The 18,624-nt window shown below is 50.9% G+C and overlaps 1 protein-coding gene across 5 annotated transcripts in view, besides 1 other annotated feature; it reads right to left on the bottom strand.

The window, feature by feature from the left end:
- EIPR1 (EARP complex and GARP complex interacting protein 1) overlaps positions 1–18,624 on the bottom strand; it is a 188,849-nt gene that overhangs the window by 100,298 nt on the left and 69,927 nt on the right. The window lies entirely within an intron of this gene.
- Positions 17,393–17,563: a silencer, noted in NCBI's record as "fragment chr2:3310431-3310601 (GRCh37/hg19 assembly coordinates)". NCBI's record gives its function as "represses an EF-1alpha promoter that drives an FKBP-Casp9 reporter gene in an ReSE screen in phorbol 12-myristate 13-acetate-treated (for megakaryocytic differentiation) K562 erythroleukemia cells {active_cell/tissue: K562(+PMA)}" and the evidence as "EXISTENCE:reporter gene assay evidence [ECO:0000049][PMID:32094911]".

The raw sequence follows: 18,624 nt of genomic DNA on the forward strand, positions 1-18,624 counted from the left end.
TGATCCTCCAAATTATAGTTTTAAAACAAAGAACGCCGAGCTCAGGGTTTTCTCTCTGTCCAGACAGAGGATGGGGCGTGTGACCCAGGGACCCAGAGTATGTTGTTGGATCTCAAATGCCTACAAAAATGACAGAAGGAACAGTCTCGTCCTCTGTGGGAGAAGGGCAATGGCAGACCCAAAACCGAACTGAGGGACCACGGGATCCTGGGAGCCATGCCCTGCTCCCCACTCTGCACCAGCCTCCTGGCCTTCCGCTTCTGTGCTGGTTCCCTCGGTCTCCCTCCCAGCTTGTAAACGAGGCATGCCCAGAGCCATCCGTGATCCTGTCTCCCTATGTGCACCATGTCTAAAATGAGCCCCAGGGCTTTGAATCCCGTAGGGTGTGTCAACAGCACCCAATTCACATTTCCCATGCTCATCTCCCCGACGCAGGCTCCCACAGCCACCAGCTTCAGCAGACGAGTAGACACATGATACGCAATTCACACTTAGTGTCCAAAGCTGAACGCCAGCGGCCCCCAGCCTTATCCTTCCCGGGGCTTCCCGTCTCAACAGACAGCATCAGTGCTACATGCTTGCTCAGGCCACAAGATACTGGCCCCACCTTGATCCACGCCTCTCATCACGACCACTACACCCTTTGTCACGGCCTCCAGGGTGAGTGCCGCAGTTCCAGCTGCCACGGTCGCTCACAGAACCACACAATGCCCTCTGATGGGCCCTGCCACAGCTCCTGGCTAAGCCCTGGCTGGCATCTCCTTCCCAGCCACTTGTTTCTCCTTTATCCCATTGCACAAATTACACATTTTCTTTTGTACTTAGCATTGTCTGTCCCCCATCAAGCCTGCAGGTTACAAGGGCAAGGTGTGTAGCTGGTGGGTGCTACAGGCCCAGCATACAGGGCAGTGCGTGGCACAAGACAGTGGCTCGTCTCGCTCACCCGGATGCAGCCCCCAGGCCTAGAATGCTGCCGGGAGCAGAATAAGATGCACAACGAAGGATGGTGGATGCGTAATTATGACGTGTTATATGAAGTACACAAAAGATTATGACATGCATAACACCTTTTAAATACAAAAGAATACAAAAGGAAGAGTCCTTTTTAAAGATGTTATTTTACCACTAAAATGTGACAGCGGGTTGGGTGAGGAAGGGTTGGAACTGGGGGAGTCAAAGGTTCCCAGGAACCTAAGCCATAATCAAGAGAAAAATCTTCTCCCTGAAGAAGTGGTGGCAGCAATCAGCTGTAGCTTGTACTTCTTTAGGGATTTTTCCTTAAAAAAATAGACTTAGTCTTTGTAATGGGTCTTGCCACTTGGGCATCTGTAGAATTCATTTGGCCATGAATTTAGGGTATGCCATGGCTCTCTAAAGAGGAGGGTGCTGGGGGCAGGTGGCGGGGGTGTGGCAGCAAGGGACCACATTCTCCTCACTGCACAGGCAGCCGTGCCTGACCACTTCAGTGGGGCTGAGCGCACTTGCTGTGACAGGAGAGGCCCCATGAAATGGACCGTCGGTCATCTGGGTCTTTCGCGAATCAACCAGCACTAATTGCCATCAGATTGCATGTGTCAGCACACACAGACAGCGCTTCCATCACGGCCCGAGCAATGCAAGAGGAACACAGAGAATCTATTTTATCTCGTGGTGCTCCAGGCCAGGCCAGGACTGAGAGAAAGAGGCCAGAGTGGGATGGACTCTTCACATTCCACGGGCCAGCCCTCAGTTTTCTGATTAGGAAGTAAACTGGGTCTAAAATTTGGCTTCTGCCCAAGTCCCTAAGAGATTCCCCCACGGCTGGCATTGATGAGGATACCCCGAGGAACATGCCTCAGATGCGAGGCTGGATGTTAGCCCCACAGCAGCAGGGATGCCTGGGGGTGGGGCGAGAACACCCAGAATGAAGCTACAGGCACACCCAGCATCACAACACACACAACTGGAGATCAAGAATTCAATTCTGTTGTAATTAGGACACACATCAGCACAAAGTGGGCTATCATCCTATATGAAGAGTACATGGTTCTGCCGTGTACCCGAATCCACGTAGCGGGCTGCACGCACAGTTCTGCCGTGTACCCCAACCCACGTAGCGGGCTGCATGCACAGTTCTGCAGTGTACCCAAATCCATATATTAGACTATGCTGGGTGCTGAACACTTAGAACTCATAACTATCTGCTTTCAAAAGGAGTCTAAGAGAGATGGTTAGTTGTTAAATACATTATGATATAGATCAAAATTATATCATAAAAACGTCATAATTTAAAAGATAGTTTTATCTAAACATAAAGCATACCTCCTAAAAAATTGGTTTTTAAATTCAATCTGCATCCATTTGTCTTGAGTAGGGAACACATTCAAGTGGTCTCTGGGGTGATGCCGTGAGGGAGTGTGGCTAAGAAACTCACCCAGGCCCTTTCCATCCTTTCTCTCATTTAATCTGTATAATAGACGTGGAAGTTATTACCTTTTTATATCATGGTATTGTTATCACTTTATAAAGAGCAAACCAAAGTTCTCAAATATCAACCTTAGTGCCGTTTTCCTGATTTTCTTGGAGAAACACAATGTTATGTAAAGGTAAGTTGGTCACCTTCGCATGACCATGGCAATGTCACAGCAGGTGGCACAGCTGGATGCTGTCAGCCCCAAGCCTGTCTGTGTCCTGGTCCTGTGGCCGTCAGGGGCCCCGCTGGGCCATCCACTCCAGGGGCACCATGCACACGTGCTCGCCACGGGGCCACATGGCAGCCTATGTCCACTGAACCCTCCTGCCACACATGCTCTGCTCTGTGAGGAAGGTTGAAGAGTTTTCCATTCTGGCTCCATGCTAACATCACTCAGGAATGAACCTACTAACATCTGGGGCCCTGTTGGGAAATATTCTGGGTCAAGGTGAGGCCTGCAGCACTGGAACTTTCCCTAAGTCCTCAGGTGACTGCGCGGCCAGACTGGGACCCAGTCCATTAAGTGGCTGACCCATCATTTATGTTAATGGTTTATCATCTTCAAGTGCCCCTTCATAAGATACTCGTACAAAAAAGACCGTGAGCCCTACAGGCCCCAGATACTTCCCCCATGCTCACCACGCTGTTGGGGGGACAGCCCCCCACACCTCACAGACAGCCGGCTCTGTGCACCTCACAACAGGCCCACATACTTCCCCCATGCTCACCATGCTGTTGCGGGGACAGCCCCCCGTACCTCACAGACAGCCGGCTCTGCGCACCTCACAAGTACCTCTCCTTAATCCCCAGAGCGATCTCCAGATAGGTGCTGCTGTCCCTCTTTTATGAGGAATGAGTCTAAGCCTAAGAGACCTCCCCAAGGCCATACAGCCTCCGTGCCAGAGCCGGAACTCAAATCCAGGTATGTCTGATGCTGACGTCTGTGCTGCCTCCAAGGCACGCAGCCTCATGTGATGAACAGGTGACCACCACCAAAAAGCTCTCATCTACATTACGGCAACTTCTGCCAAGATGATGCCAGTACTATGTGGAAGATTAAAATAATGTTGATTTCTTTATAATGAATTCAACTGTTACTGAAAATAATGAGATATGAGACAGAGAGCAAAAATGTTTTGAAAAAAAAAAAAAACTAAAACTAAATATAAACCTTAGTGGCTAGGTCCAAAAAAGACTGTCATTTGCAGAAAACGAGAAAGGGAGAGAGAACGTTCCTTTTCCACATTAAACGAAATAAGCCCTGCTACCCCGGTCCCATGAAGCCTTTCTGGGCAGACACTGGCCCAGGCCTGAGCTCTTCTGCACCCATGTGCATTCTCCCAAGTCCTCTGCCAGCCTACGAGTCTTCCTCTGTTTCCTTTCATTCCATCACAGAACAATCTCGACAAACTATCACCCTACAATCTATAGCCTGGTGGCATGGCTTGCTCGGTGAGTTGAGCTTAACTCAGCAACATTCTAGCACAGATGAGGGCCTCCCCTTGAGCCGGCCTGCAGCACTCTAACCGGGTTCCCAGGACACCTTTCCTAGCAGGCTCAGGAAAGGGCATCTTTACTGGGTCAGTGGCTCCTCCAGGAGGCCCTTGGAAGACTTCAGGAGGGGCGTGGTGGAAGACAGAGGGAAATGCTGCTATAGCCTGTGAGTCCATGCGTGGGGAGGGCCTGGACCAATCAGATGTGGCCTGCTTTTTCTCTCATGGCAAAGCTGCATGCCCCAGGGAGAACCCGGACTGCTCAGGAGGGTCCTGGCACCCAGACAGCCGTTTAGGCTGCAAAACAGCACACAGAAGACCTGCTTCAAAGACGGGCCCATCAGCCACGACTGGACCAGTCCCCACGGGCACCTCAGCCCCTTAACCTCTGCTCCACTTCTCCCCATCACTCTGGACGCATGTGGTGACAGTCCTCCCGGGTTTTCAGGAAAGGAATGGTCCCGACAGCTGTTGGATGCAGGTGGCCACAGCAGCAGGTAAACTCTCTTAATATGCTGCAGGTGAGACCCACCCCAGGACGCAGAGGCAGCCTGTTATTATTTTAAGGCAATGATCAAGTCATCTTCAACTTGATCACAGACAATTTTGAATTTGTCTGTCGCCGAACACGTTAATGTCTAAACATGTCCTTTAATGTTCTGTGAAGCTACAGAAACCACACATTATTCAAAAAGAAAGATTTTTCTTCCTTAAATTTAATTAAATGGAATGGTGGCTATTTGAACACCACAGACTCCAAACACTTTAACAAATATGAACCTAAACAATTCTTTGATGATATCCAAAGTGCAAATAATGTTTTCATTCTTGAACTTTTCAAAATCAGTAAACAAAAAATTATGTATAACCATTTAACAAATACATTTAAAGTCATAAATGATAATCTTATTGTGTAGAAGTAATATTGTTCATTAGGAGAATCCCACAGGAGGAATAATTATAACCATGTGACTGCTTTCAACCAGCTTAGCTGACTCGTGACCTGGCTTTGACCTGTGTCCTTGAACTGATGTTCAAACACACACCCTCCATCCAGCCCATCCTCCCTACACACACACACCCTCCATCCAGCCGATCCTCTCTGCACACACCCTCCATCCAGCCGATCTTCTCTGCACACATACACCCTCTATCCAGGCCATCCTCTCTCCACACACACCCTCCACCCAGCCCATCCTCTCCACACACACACACCCTCCATCCAGCCCATCCTCTCTCCAAACACACACCCTCCATCCAGCCCATCCTCCCTACACACACACACCCTCCATCCAGCCGATCCTCTCTGCACACACCCTCCATCCAGCCGATCCTCTCTACACACACCCTCCATCCAGCCGATCCTCTGCACACATACACCCTCCATCCAGGCCATCCTCTCTCCACACACACCCTCCATCCAGCCCATCCTCTCTCCAAACACACACCCTCCATCCAGCCCGTCCTCTCTACACACACCCTCCATCCAGCCCATCCTCTCTACACACACCCTCCATCCAGCCATCCTCTCTCTATACACATGCCTTCCATCCAGCCCATCCTCTCTCTACATACACACCCTCCATCCAGCCCATCCTCTCTCCACACACCCTCCATCCAGCCCATCCTCTCTCCACATACCCTCCATCCAGCCAACCTCTCTCTATACACATGCCCTCCATCCAGCCCATTCTCTCCCTGCACACACACCCGCCATCCAGCCCATCCTCTCTACACACACACACACACCCTCCATCCAGCCCATCCTCTCTACACACACACACACACACCCTCCATCCAGCCCATACTCTCTGCACACATACACCCTCCATCCAGGCCATTCTCTCTCCACACACACCTCCATCCAGCCCATCCTCTTTCCACACATACACCCTCCATCCAGCCCATCCTCTCTCCATGCACAACCTCCATCCGGCATGTCCTTTCTACACACACACACCCTCCATATAGCTTGTCCTCTCTACACACACACACCCTCCATCCAGCCCGTCCTCTCTCCACACATACACCCTCCATCCAGCCCGTCCTCTCTCCACACACACCCTCCATCCAGCCCGTCCTCTCTCCACACACACCCTCCATCCAGCCCATCCTCTCTACACACACACACCTTCCATCCAGCCCATCCTCTCTCTACACACCCTCCATCCAGGCTATCCTCTCTACACACACACCCTCCATCCAGCCCATCCTCTCTGCACACACACACCCTCCATCCAGCCCATCCTCTCTCTACACACCCTCCATCCAGCCCATCCTCTCTGCACACATACACCCTCCATCCAGCCCATCGTCTCTCCACACACACCCTCCATCCAGCCCATCCTCTCTCCACACACACACCCTCCATCCAGCCCTCCTCTCTCTGCACACCCTCCATCAAGCCCATCCTCTCTACATACACACACCCTCCATCCAGCCCGTCCTCTCTACTCACACACACCCTCCATGCAGCCCTCCTCTCTCTGCACACCCTCCATCAAGCCCATCCTCTCTACATACACACACCCTCCATCCAGCCCGTCCTCTCTCTGCACACACACCCTCCATCCAGCCCATCCTCTCTACAAACACGCCCTCCATCCAGCCCATCCTCTCCCTGCACACACACACCCTCCATCCAGCCCATCCTCTCTCTGCACACACCCTCCATCCAGCCCATTCTCTCTTTACACACCCTCCATCCAGCCCATCCTCTCCTTGCACACACACACCCTCCATCCAGCCCATCCTCTCTCTGCACACACACCCTCCATCCAGCCCATCCTCTCTCTACACACCCTCCATCCAGCCCATCCTCTCTACTCACACACACCCTCCATGCAGCCCTCCTCTCTCTGCACACACACCCTCCATCCAGCCCATCCTCTCTACACACACACCCTCCATCCAGCCCATCCTCTCTGCACACACACACCCTCCATCCAGCCCCTCCTCTCCCTGCACACATACACCCTCCATCCAGCCCATCCTCTCTACACAGACACCCTCCATCCAGCCCATCCTCACCACACACAGACACCCTCCATCCAGCCCATCCTCACCACACACAGACACCCTCCATCCAGCCCATCCTCTCTACACACACACACCCTCCATCCAGCCCGTTCTCTCTCTACACACACACACCCTCCATCCAGCCCATCCTCTCTCTGCACACACACACCCTCCATCCAGCTCACCCCCTCTGCAAACACACACCCTCCATCCAGCCCATCCTCTCTCCACACACACACCCTCCATCCAACCCATCCTCTCCACACACACCCTCCAACCAGCCCATCCTCTCTACACACACACCCTCCATCCAGTCCATCCTCTGTATACACACACACACTCCATCCAGCCCATCCTCTCTACACATACACCCTCCATCCAGCCCATCCTCTCTACACACATACACACCTCCATCCAGCCCATCCCGTCTACACACACACCCTCCATCCAGCCCGTCCTCTCTCTGCCTACAGAATCCATCCAGCCCATCCTCCCTACACACACACACCCTCCATCCAGCCTATCCTCTCTACACACACAGATTGTTCCCTCTCTGCACACACACTGTCCATCCAGCCTGTCCTCTCTGCACCCACACACTGCCCATCCAGCTCTGGGCATCTTTGTCCTCACAGGTGAAACCAGGGCTCTGACCTTTCTTCAACCTCAGCTGTCTAGGACCAAGTCTCTCCGAGTCTCTGACTTGTTTCCTTAGGGGTTTCCAATTAAGAGCTAATCTTGTTCTCCTGCCTAGCCTGGAAGCCATCTACTTCTCCCGGCACCCATCCGGCAGGCAGGTGGTGGCAGTTTCTCTCTGTACCAGAATCACTTCCTTTTGTCCATGAGCTCCTGGGTGGCAGGGATTAGGTGGGCTTAATTGTGTCTGTGGCTCCAGCATTTGGGACAGTGTGGCACATGCTAGGAGCTCAGCATGTATCTGGTGACCACAAAAGAAAGAGGCGTGTGGGACACTGTGAAAACAGCATCGATGGAATCCGACTACGGAATAAAGAGGGTGGGGGCGAGGAAAGGCTGATGTTTCAGTGGAGTATAAAAGAAGGCTGAGTGGCATGAAGTGAGTGTTTCAGCCACACCTGCCTCACCTGCAGCATGCAGAGACAGCCATTCACATCTTACACCGCTGGTGAGGCAAGTGGTAAGCACAGGGCTCAGCAGATGGTGGGCATTTGCCCTAACAGTTAAATAAGGGCTGTAGATGAGCAGATTTTCAAAGTCCCTTCTACAACGGAGTTCAACCAGTTTCAGAAGAGTTGAGCTACGAGGTTCTACCTCCCAGTTCAGCCTCATGCCCAGGGGAAACAGCCAGGTTCTCCCTTGCATTCTAGTCCAAGGGACGGCAAACTTTTTCTGTAAAGGGCCAGGTCATAAATATTTTTGGCTTTGCAGGCCACACAGTCTTTATCGCAGTTACTCTGTAGAGCAAAATCAGCCACAGACATTACAGAAATAAGCGAGTGTGTCTGGGTGCCAATAAAACTTTATTCACAAAACCAGGTAGTGGGCCAGAATTAGCTGTGGCTGTGGTTTCCTGGCCCCTCTCCTAGACCATGAAAAGCTTTGTCTTGCTTCTTTTTTTGTTCGTTTGTTTGAGATGGAGTCTCGTTCTGTCATCCAGGCTGGAGTGCAGTGGCTCCATCTCAGCTCACTGCAAGATCTGCCTCCCGGGTTCAGCTTTGTCTTGCTTTTTAAGGAGATTTAGGAGAAACCCTTTGTTCATTTGCTCATTCACTACATTCAACAAATACTTTCTCAGTGCCTACTATGTGCCAGGCACTTTTGAGCCTATGGGTCAGAGAGGGGGTCATCACCAAAAGATCTGCCATCTCAGACAGTTGGGACTCATGGATAATGCTATACATTTCCTGCTCTATTTATTGTATTTTCCCTTCATTCCCTTAACAGATGCTTGTTAGCAGAGAAAGGCTTGAGATTCGTGCGGCCCACTCCTTCTGCCACTGCAGCCCCACTCTTACCCGTTTCACATACCGGGGTTTTATTTATATGTCTATTACAGGCTTATATATTGGGGTTCCTTGTCACTTGTGAAAATGGGTTCGGTAGCTTTAAAACAAGATTTGAAAGCCACTGGTCTGGCCTAGATACTGCCGTTTTATTGATGGCTGGGTTGTGTGGGAGAGAATCCAAGTCTTGCTAGTGTCAGATTACATCTATTGCTTCCCCTGGACCCATCTTGTCTGTCGTCATGCCCTTGAAAGAGATAAAATTAATCAGAAGGGAGTTATGGCCTCCAAAGTCATCCTGATAGTATCTAGGATCTTACGATCTCGATGGTGTTGGTAAATTGGTTCTGTAATAATGATCCTCCCCTGGCTGAGTGTCCTCAGATCTCAACAAGCAAATTCCGGTGTCCTCCCCCGAGAAGATGTCGTGGGTTCTTGATCTCCTATACCAAGAGCTCACTCAGTATTCAGAAATGCTCCACACAAGGATTGACAGCAGCCAAAGAGGGGCCGTGTTCTCTAAGGTGCTCGGGCTCTCCATGAGGGAAGGAACCCCCAACCACACTCTATCCAACCACTGTCAGAAGACTCACCCCCCATAAGAAGGCATTCCAGTGTCGGCACAAATGCTTCCTGGGAGAAGACACGTACAGCTCTGGGACAGCTGCAGACGTCAAGCCCAGCCTTCCAGGGGACATCGTCTGACTCGGTGTTAACTTCTCCCTTACCTACCCCGCTCCTGCTCACTGCGCTCAGATCTTTGCCCTGGGATCAGAAAGAGAAGGTCCAGTCCTCTCCCGCTTAACAGCCCCACAGATACAGGAAAGCCCCACCATAGCACTATTAATGAGGCCAAAAAGCCTCAAACATTTAAAATGGGGGTTCTCATTTTTCAAAAGTAATGAGATGACCAGGGTGAGTTCTGGACTTCAGGAAGCCAAGATTCATCACAAGTCCTAGCTGTTGCTGAGAATGTCGCTGTGTCTGTCTCTCCACAGGGCCTCCCGCGTGAGCCTCCATGGACTGCCCCCTGTCCTGGAGTGCTCCGCCCTGGGTCAGCTCATTGTCCTGGCCCCCCGTCCTGCCGTGCTCGGCCCTGGGTCAGCTCACTGTCCTGGCCCCTTGTCCTGCAGTGCTCGGCCCTGGGTCAGCTCATTGTCCCAGCGACTCTGCTTGGGGCTCTGCTGATGGCATTCTGAGAGCTGGATGCCACATGGATGTGATCTGACTGGGCGCGGCCTTGTTACGAATATCTCCTTCTCTTAGGAAAAGAGAGTCCTTGGATTAGATTGGCTTTTTGTTTTAATGGGCAAATCATACTATTGACTTTGACACTATAGCCTGCTGAAATTCCCATTTGTATGTTTTAAATTTCAGAAAGGAAAATATTTTCTCTCTCTCTCTCTCTCTCTCACACACACACACACACACACACACACACACACACTTTGAGTTATGGCCATACGTGTAAGCTATGTAAGCTCTTCTTAGGTTTTGCCAAATCACGGAAGACAGACAACCTGGCAGTTTACATGCAATCTTATACGTCCCTAAGATGTCATTCACCAAGCTGCATTCCCTCTCTTGACAGTCTGTAGAAAGCTTGGTTCTCTAGGCAGTGAGTGAAAAGGATCTCGTTCCCAGTCTCGGCACCACCACTCACAGTCGAGTGATCCTGGGCCAGTCACTCAAGTGCTCAGAGCCCAGACTCAGCAAATTTATGACGCAAGAGTCACACTATTTGGTCTCCAAGGTGCCTCTTGACAGGGACCCTAAGATTCCCCAGTGAGGTATGCAGCCTGGCCTGGCAAAGCGCAAACTCCAGTGCAGACAGCTGTGGCTGGATCACTAAATCAATAGTTTGAACCATATGAAACTGCCATTCTTATAGGTCAAAAAGGGTCAAATTTCAGCAATTTCATATAATTCAACCCTGTGAAATCCCAAACAAGACTTTTAACCTCCCAGTTTTCACAATTGCAAAATGAATGTCCTATATTATGGAAAACTAGTTTTAAGATGTCAAAACTCCAAAATTCTATTTGGTCCATTAAAACGACAGTTTCCCCTGTAACACATGTACTCTCCTTTGTACCTAGACAGTGATTACATATGAATGGCTGGCTTCTGGTCTTTCCAGCACAGGTCTATCTAAATGCCTTTACACAGGCCCGCCCCCTCTCCTTCTCGTCAGTGCCTCAGCTTCAGGATGCAAGCACCCCTCCTCTGCTCTTACAGTGCCTTCATCATTGCTCCCTAAAAAGCCTGGACTGGGCTCCCAGCAGTCTCGCCTCAATGCCACCTGCATGTCCACGGCCACATCCTTGCCTCACAGCCTCTCCAATGTGTCCGTTTCTCAAGGCTGTACTTCAGGGTCAAATGGGCTTTCGCGCTAATACCCTATCAAACAGCCTTCTTGCCAATACCATTTCCATGAAAAAAAAAAAGAATCAACCAAAAACAAAAACAAGAAGGTACACACAATGCACTTATTTCTGGATGATGCTGGGAAGTCCCGATGTCCCAATCATACAAATACCTAATGGTCCAAAAGCGTTTGTAAACCAGCTGTCGCCCAGGCATGTTTTCTACAAGAGAGTATATATGTCATGGGTTATAAACAGCGAGTGAGCGAGTGAACCTGTGAACTCCGGACAGTGCCAATTCCAACAGCACAGGCTTCTGTGTGTTCTTCATTAGGAGAAATCTTGTTTTTCAGGGTACAGTTCTCAAAATAGTCAAAAATCTCAGAGGCCAGCCTGATGAATGAAAAAGATGATTCATAGGGCTAAATTATCAGGAGCCAAAAAGTATCCTACAAAAACACAGCAGAGAGATTTTCTCAGATGGCACTGAAGCTGACTTTTAGAGCATTTCTGAAAGAAAAGTTCCAAAAATGTTTTGGGAAATGACAGTTTCTTTGGACAAGCAGAGGTCAGCATCACGGGCACGCAAGTTCCTCTGTGTCTGCATGAGATTCCGCAATGAGCCTTGCTTTTCAGATGCAGCTTCCGGGATGAGTGACTCAGTTCCAAGTGAGATGCAGTAGACGGCAACAAACACACATCTTCTTTCTGACCCCTTCACAACAACAAGCATGGAGGCAGGTCCCGGGGACTCCAAGGAGAACTGGCCTTCACTCCCTGTGCCTGCCAGGGGACAGCCATCTGAACACTGAGGAGTCTCCCAGGCCAGGTCACTAAGTTAGAGAATGCTCCAAGGAGAACTGGCCTTCACTCCCTGTGCCTGCCAGGGGACAGCCATCTGAACACTGAGGAGTCTCCCAGGCCAGGTCACTAAGTCAGACAATGCTCTTTCTTCTTCCAAGTGGGCCAGGCTCATTATTGAGTAATTAGTTCTTACTCAGGTACCCACAATGGTGGCCAAACATACCTGAACTGTGTTAAAAACAAAACCAAACGAGAAAAGTGTTTCTGGTCTTATAATATTTGTTTGACACCTCAAACCTCTTATTTTCATTTCAGAGACTGATTAAATACAGTCTCAAGGTGATAAAATAACACAGTAGGATAAAAATAAAGTGACAAGTGGCAAGGGATGGTTAGTCATCTTTGATACCTGTGGATACTCAAACCCACCATTTAAAATGTCTTAGGTGTTAGATGTGGTAGGTGTTTCTATCAGGAACACGTGGGAATAAAAACAAATTTAGAACTCACATCTGGGCTTCTCACTTCTAAAACAAGGGTCAGGAGGCCAGAAGGCGGAGCAGCGCATCAGTTAGGATTTGACAGGACCACCATGAGGGCTCTGAAGGCGGAGAGACTGCCAGATGCGATAAAGCAGAAGCTCACAGGACTCTTTTACAGGGCTCCTGAGGCCACGCCAGCAGTGGGAAAATCTCCAGAGTGGAACTGAATTCAAGAAACCTGTGTATAGAATACTCCCTCAGCGACTTGGGGTTCCAGATCCAGCCACCTGAAAACTTTCCGGCATACAGCAAAAAGAAAACCCCTGATTTCCTAAACTCAATCAGCTTTGAGTTTAACGAGGGTGCCTCTGGGCCAATGTCTAATGAATCACAGGATCAGAGTCACCGCCTGATATTCTGTGGTTCTGGTGAAGCCTGGGCAGCACAGCAAGACCCTGTCTCTACAAAAAATTTAAATGTTAACAATTAATTAAAATTTAAATTTAAATAAAACGTGTGGTGAGTGGCAAACTGCGGTTTCAAGCAATTAGAAGACAATCCCTCTTCTGAAATCCAGGTCCTTGGCTTTCTCATGCTGTCTCATCCTCCCAGCACCACACTCTCCTTTCTTTGCCTCCCAGTTCTTTTCTGTTGGCTGCTTCTCCTTCTGCTGCTGGGCTTTAGCAAGCTGATCCTGAGTGCAGTTGGTGGATGGCGACAGGCCGGATGAAGACAGCGATGGCAGTGACGTGACGTCGCGGAACCAGAGGTTGTGCCCCATTGCAGTGGCCATTGCCAGAAGCCCAGGCCCGCTGCGGATCCACAGCCCTCCCTGCATCCTGGAACCCCCGCCACCTTGTCACTGTCACTCTGGGTGAACTGCTTGCTTTGTGTCTGTCTTCCCATCAGACGACAGGCTCCCAAAGGCCAGGCCAGCCGTGTCTGCATGGCTGAGCTCGGGGCGCTCCAGCAGGGCGTCTGGCATGCAGCAGAGAGGGATCAATACTGAGAACAGAACAGAGGAAAAGGGCAGAAGCTCCAGGGCCAAGGTCAGCAGGAGGGAGGGCCTGGGCAGCCACAGCAGGGACACGAAATCTGACTCCGTTTTTTTCATCTGTAAAACTGAAATTGTGACTCAAGAGTTGTGGAGATTAAATATGAAGACCGCTGAAAAGTGACAGTGGCGCTGGCTCACAGCTGCACTCAGTTGTGGTGACAGCCAGTGCCCTTGTGTCCACCTATGTAACCATCCCCAGCCTGGGGACTTACACAGCCCAACGTCACGTGTATTTGCTGCACTTTTAGTTGCAATTCACAAAAGCTGGCTCCGGCTGATTAAGCAGAAAAGGAGATCAACGTGAGGGGCTGGGTGGAAGGGGAGGGGTGCCAGGCAGCTCACTCTCACCAGCCATGCCGAGGGCCAGGCTAAGGGGAGCCTCTGGGGGCCAAGCTCGGAGCCTCACCAGGGCCATGGCCCAGCAGGGGAGTCTCTGCGGCCCCCATCCAGCACAAAGGAAGCCACCCCACAGCTCTGCTGCTGCCTTAGGCTGCTGCGTGCCAGGGACCGACCACCACCTGGAAGTCACCGGCACTGCTGCCACCTCGACCGCCACTCACAGCAGCAGTGGCAGCCCCCACTGTCCCCTCACGCTGCCACGTCTGAATCAGTCTCACCCAAATGCTCAGGCCAGCAGAGTCGGGTCACAGCGAAACTGGAAAATAGATTTCTTATTTTCATATTGGGAAATGCGACTAATAACCTAGGAAATTTCCCCAAGCACAGGAAGACTACTCCAAAGATAAGGAGCAGCCACAAACCCGCCAGACGCCGGCAACCTGACTTCTGAGTGTTTCCCGGCACCGTGAACACAATAGACGACACGTGATACGGTGCGGCCTCTGCGCCCGGGAAGCTTCGCCCTCTGCTGGCAGACGGCGGGATCCATCGGGTGCTGGGAGGACCGGGAATCACAGCAGGCTGACCAGCCATAACAGACAGAGTATAACCCCAAAGAGTCAATCGCTGTCAAAGGAAGACTGTTAAAAATCTTATACAGTCATATAATTTGGGTTGAATAATGAAGATTCTCATAAAACCCTATCACTCAAATCTCCGATTTACAGTACTTGTTGCATGGTTTGAAAAGATTTCCTGTTACAAAATCCCCACTGTGTGATTTGCTGACTCTGATGTAGGAAGACAGACACGGTCACCAAGTTCACACAGAAAGGATCCATCTGAAGGGCTGGAAACGCCCAGGCACGCGGACAGGCAGCGGTGAAGCCACAGAGATGATCTTCCCAAGACCCCACGGAGCGCCACGCAAGGCTGCAGAGATCCAGGGAACAGCGTGCTGTGCGCGGGGAGGTGGTCTGGCGAGATCGGAGTTGAGATGGCCAGGGCTGAGGAACAAAGTGTCCAGGGTTCCCAGCGTTTCTCAGAATCACCCAGGCAACCTCATCAGAAGACATGGTTCTGCTCCACATCCAGCAACCAAGACTATGTGATCCTGACACCTGCAGTTCAGCCCTCCACTCCCGTCCTGTTCAACCCTCCACTCCCGTCCAATTCAGCCCTTCAGTCCCGTCCAATTCAGCCCTCCACTCCCGTCCAGTTCAGCCCTCCAGTCCCATCAGTTCAGCCCTCCACTCCCGTCCAGTTCAACCCTCCAATCCCATCCAGTTCAACCTTCCACTCCCGTCCTGTTCAGCCCTCCAATCCCGTCCAGTTCAACCTTCCACTCCCGTCCAATTCAGCCCTCCACTCCCGTCCAGTTCAGCCCTCCAGTCCCGTCCAGTTCAGCCCTCCACTCCCGTCCTGTTCAACCCTCCACTCCCGTCCAATTCAGCCCTTCAGTCCCGTCCAATTCAGCCCTCCACTCCTGTCCAGTTCAGCCCTCCAGTCCCGTCCAGTTCAGCCATCCAGTCCCGTCCAATTCAGCCCTCCACTCCCGTCCAGTTCAGCCCTCCAGTCCCGTCCAGTTCAGCCCTCCACTGCCATCCAGTTCAGCCCTCCATTCCCGTCCAGTTCAACCCTCCAATCCCGTCCAGTTCAACCCTCCAGTCCCGTCCAGTTCAGCCCTCCAATCCCGTCCAGTTCAACTCTCCACTCCCGTCCAGTTCAACCCTCCACTCCCGTCCAGTTCAACCCTCCACTCCTGTCCAGTTCAACCCTCCACTCCCGTCCAGTTCAACCCTCCACTCCCGTCCAGTTCAACCCTCCACTCCCAACCAGTTCAGCCCTCCACTCCCGTCCAGTTCAGCCCTCCAGTCCCATCAGTTCAGCCCTCCACTCCCGTCCAGTTCAACCCTCCAATCCCATCCAGTTCAACCTTCCACTCCCGTCCTGTTCAGCCCTCCAATCCCGTCCAGTTCAACCTTCCACTCCCGTACAGTTCAGCCCTCCACTCCCGTCCAGTTCAGCCCTCCAGTCCCGTCCAGTTCAACCCTCCACTCCCGTCCAGTTCAGCCCTCCACTTCCATCCCGTTCAGCCCTCCAGTCCCATCAGTTCAGCCCTCCACTCCCGTCCAGTTCAACCCTCCAATCCCATCTAGTTCAACCTTCCACTCCCGTCCTGTTCAGCCCTCCAATCCCGTCCAGTTCAACCCTCCACTCCCGTCAGTTCAGCCCTCCACTCCTGTCCAGTTCAACCCTCCACTCCCATCCAGTTCAACCCTCCACTGCCGTCCAGTTCAGCCCTCCACTCCTGTCCTGTGCCCCCATTGAGTAACGGACTGGGGCCACCTTCACAGACCTGACAACCCTGGGGAGGAGCAGGTGCAGGAGACGGGGAAAGACAGACAAAGGGGGACCTGCCCGCCCTCCAGAAAGGCCCTCACCATTGACGACACCGCCACAATCTCTCCCACAGCCAGGCTGAAAGTGATCTGACAGTTTCAACTCACCCCTTTCATTTATGTCTATATCCAGACAGTCTTCTAAGTGTCTGTCATATCCATTTCTGATAAATTCTCACCTCCTCCCAGGCGGTTCATAGGCTCTGTTCTCCTTTCTTTCCTATTTATTCTGTATTTTCCTACAAGATGACTCCTTGTTACATATTACCATCATCACGCCAATTCTATGACCTGAAAATTTCAAATCGCTGCTTCCCCCCTTTCTACTGAGTTCCGAGGCAGTCACTTGGGTCTGAGCCCACTACAATGTAAAGCCACGCCTTTTACAAACAATACTGTGCTGAACTTATTGACAGACACAAAAACGAAACTGGGGTGAGCTGCATGGGCACCCAGCGCAGACGCATTCAGCCTGAGGGACAGAGGCCCGAAGTCATCATTTCGTCATGCTAGCGGTGGCCTGGGTCCCGCCCCGCCCCTTCCCTTGGCTCCTCTGAACAGCGCTGTACACACCTTTCCCACATTCTGGGTTTCTATGGATATTTGGTTGGATTTGTTCTCTTTTCCCCCCTTCTGTTTCCCAGGTTAGTGTTTTATGCAGAATTCATTATCTAAGATTCTTTAACTTATTCCCTGGTCACTCGTTTTTGGTGATATCATATATTACTTTTTGTCATAAGAAGTTTGGTTTTCTTTATGAAATTACGGTTGGGCCATAAACAACACACAGTTTAGGGGCACCAAACCCCAACACAACTGAAAAATCTGTGTGTAACTTTTGGCTCCCCAAAAACTTAACTACTAATAGCCCACTGTTGCCCAGAAGCTGTACTAACATAAATAGTAGATTAACATATTTTGTATGACAAATGTATTACAGACTATATTGTTATAATTAAGTAGCTAGAGAAAAGAAAACATTTTTAGGAAGATCATAAGGAAGAGAAAATATATTGACTATTCATTAAGTGGAAGTGGGATCATCATAAAGCTCTTCATCCTGTCGTCTTCACACTGAGCAGACTGAGGAGGAGGAAGAGGAGGTGTTGGTCTTGCTGCCTCAGGGGCAGCAGAGGCAGAAGAAAATCCATGCGTAAGTGGACCCCCCCAGTCCAAACCCATGTTGTTCAAAGTCAACTGTACTGTATAGTTATAGAGTCAAAAAAGAGAACTCCTTTTCCTATATTTGCTATTTAGGATGTACATAAATATACGGTTTCAAACTCCAATCTTTTTATTTTTTTTTTAATTTATTTATTTTTTTGGAGGGAGTCTTGCTCTATTGCCCAGGCTGGAGTGGCGTGATCCGGGCTCACTGCAACCTCCCCCTCCTGGGTTCAAGTGATTCTCCTGTCTCAGCCTCCTGAGTAGATGGGATTACAGGCGCCTGCCACCACACCCTGCTAATTTTTGTATTTTAGTAGAGATGGGGTTCTACCATGTTGGACAGGCTGGTCTCAAACTCCTGACCTCAAATGATCCGCCTACCTCAGCCTCCCAAAGTGCTGGGATTACAGGTGTGAGCCACTGTGCCCAGCCCAAATTCCAATATGTGTCAAAAACTCCAGACAGCCCCTCCCAGCCCTCACCCAGCAGCTCCTGCCAGTGTCTCCCCGGACCCAGCGGCTCCTGCCCTAATGTCTCCCGGCCCCAAGCCAGAGGTAGAGGGCATTGGGGTGGGTGCCTCCCTTCCTCAGTGGCACAGTGTTCATGCAGGAGCCCTACCATGCTGGGGCCCCAGAAAGCAGGCCTATGGAGACTGTCTCTGTGCAATAGAACCAGCAGCCCCACTTCTGCAGGAGCAGCACCAGGCAGCCAGGAAACAAGAGCCCCGCCCTGCCCACTACCTGCGCACAGCCTCAGGAGCAGCCCGGGCACGGAAAGACGGCATCCCCACTCTCGCTCATGTGCCAGCTAAAACGCACTTCTCCTGGAGGGAGAGAGTAGACTGCCCGTTACCAGAGGCTGGGAAAAGAAGTGAGGCAGGGATGAAGAGAAGCTGGTGAATGGTATAAACATAGTTATATGGAAGGAATAAGTTCTAGTATTTGATAGTATAGTAGGAAAATTAGAGTTAACAAAACTTTACTGTATATTTCAGAATAGCAGAAGAGAATTGTAATGTTCCCAACACAAAGGAAAGATATGTTAGCCATTTGGTTATCCCAA

The sequence above is a fragment of the Homo sapiens genome, chromosome 2 (assembly GCF_000001405.40).
Source record: "Homo sapiens chromosome 2, GRCh38.p14 Primary Assembly".
Classification (NCBI taxonomy): domain Eukaryota; kingdom Metazoa; phylum Chordata; class Mammalia; order Primates; family Hominidae; genus Homo; species Homo sapiens.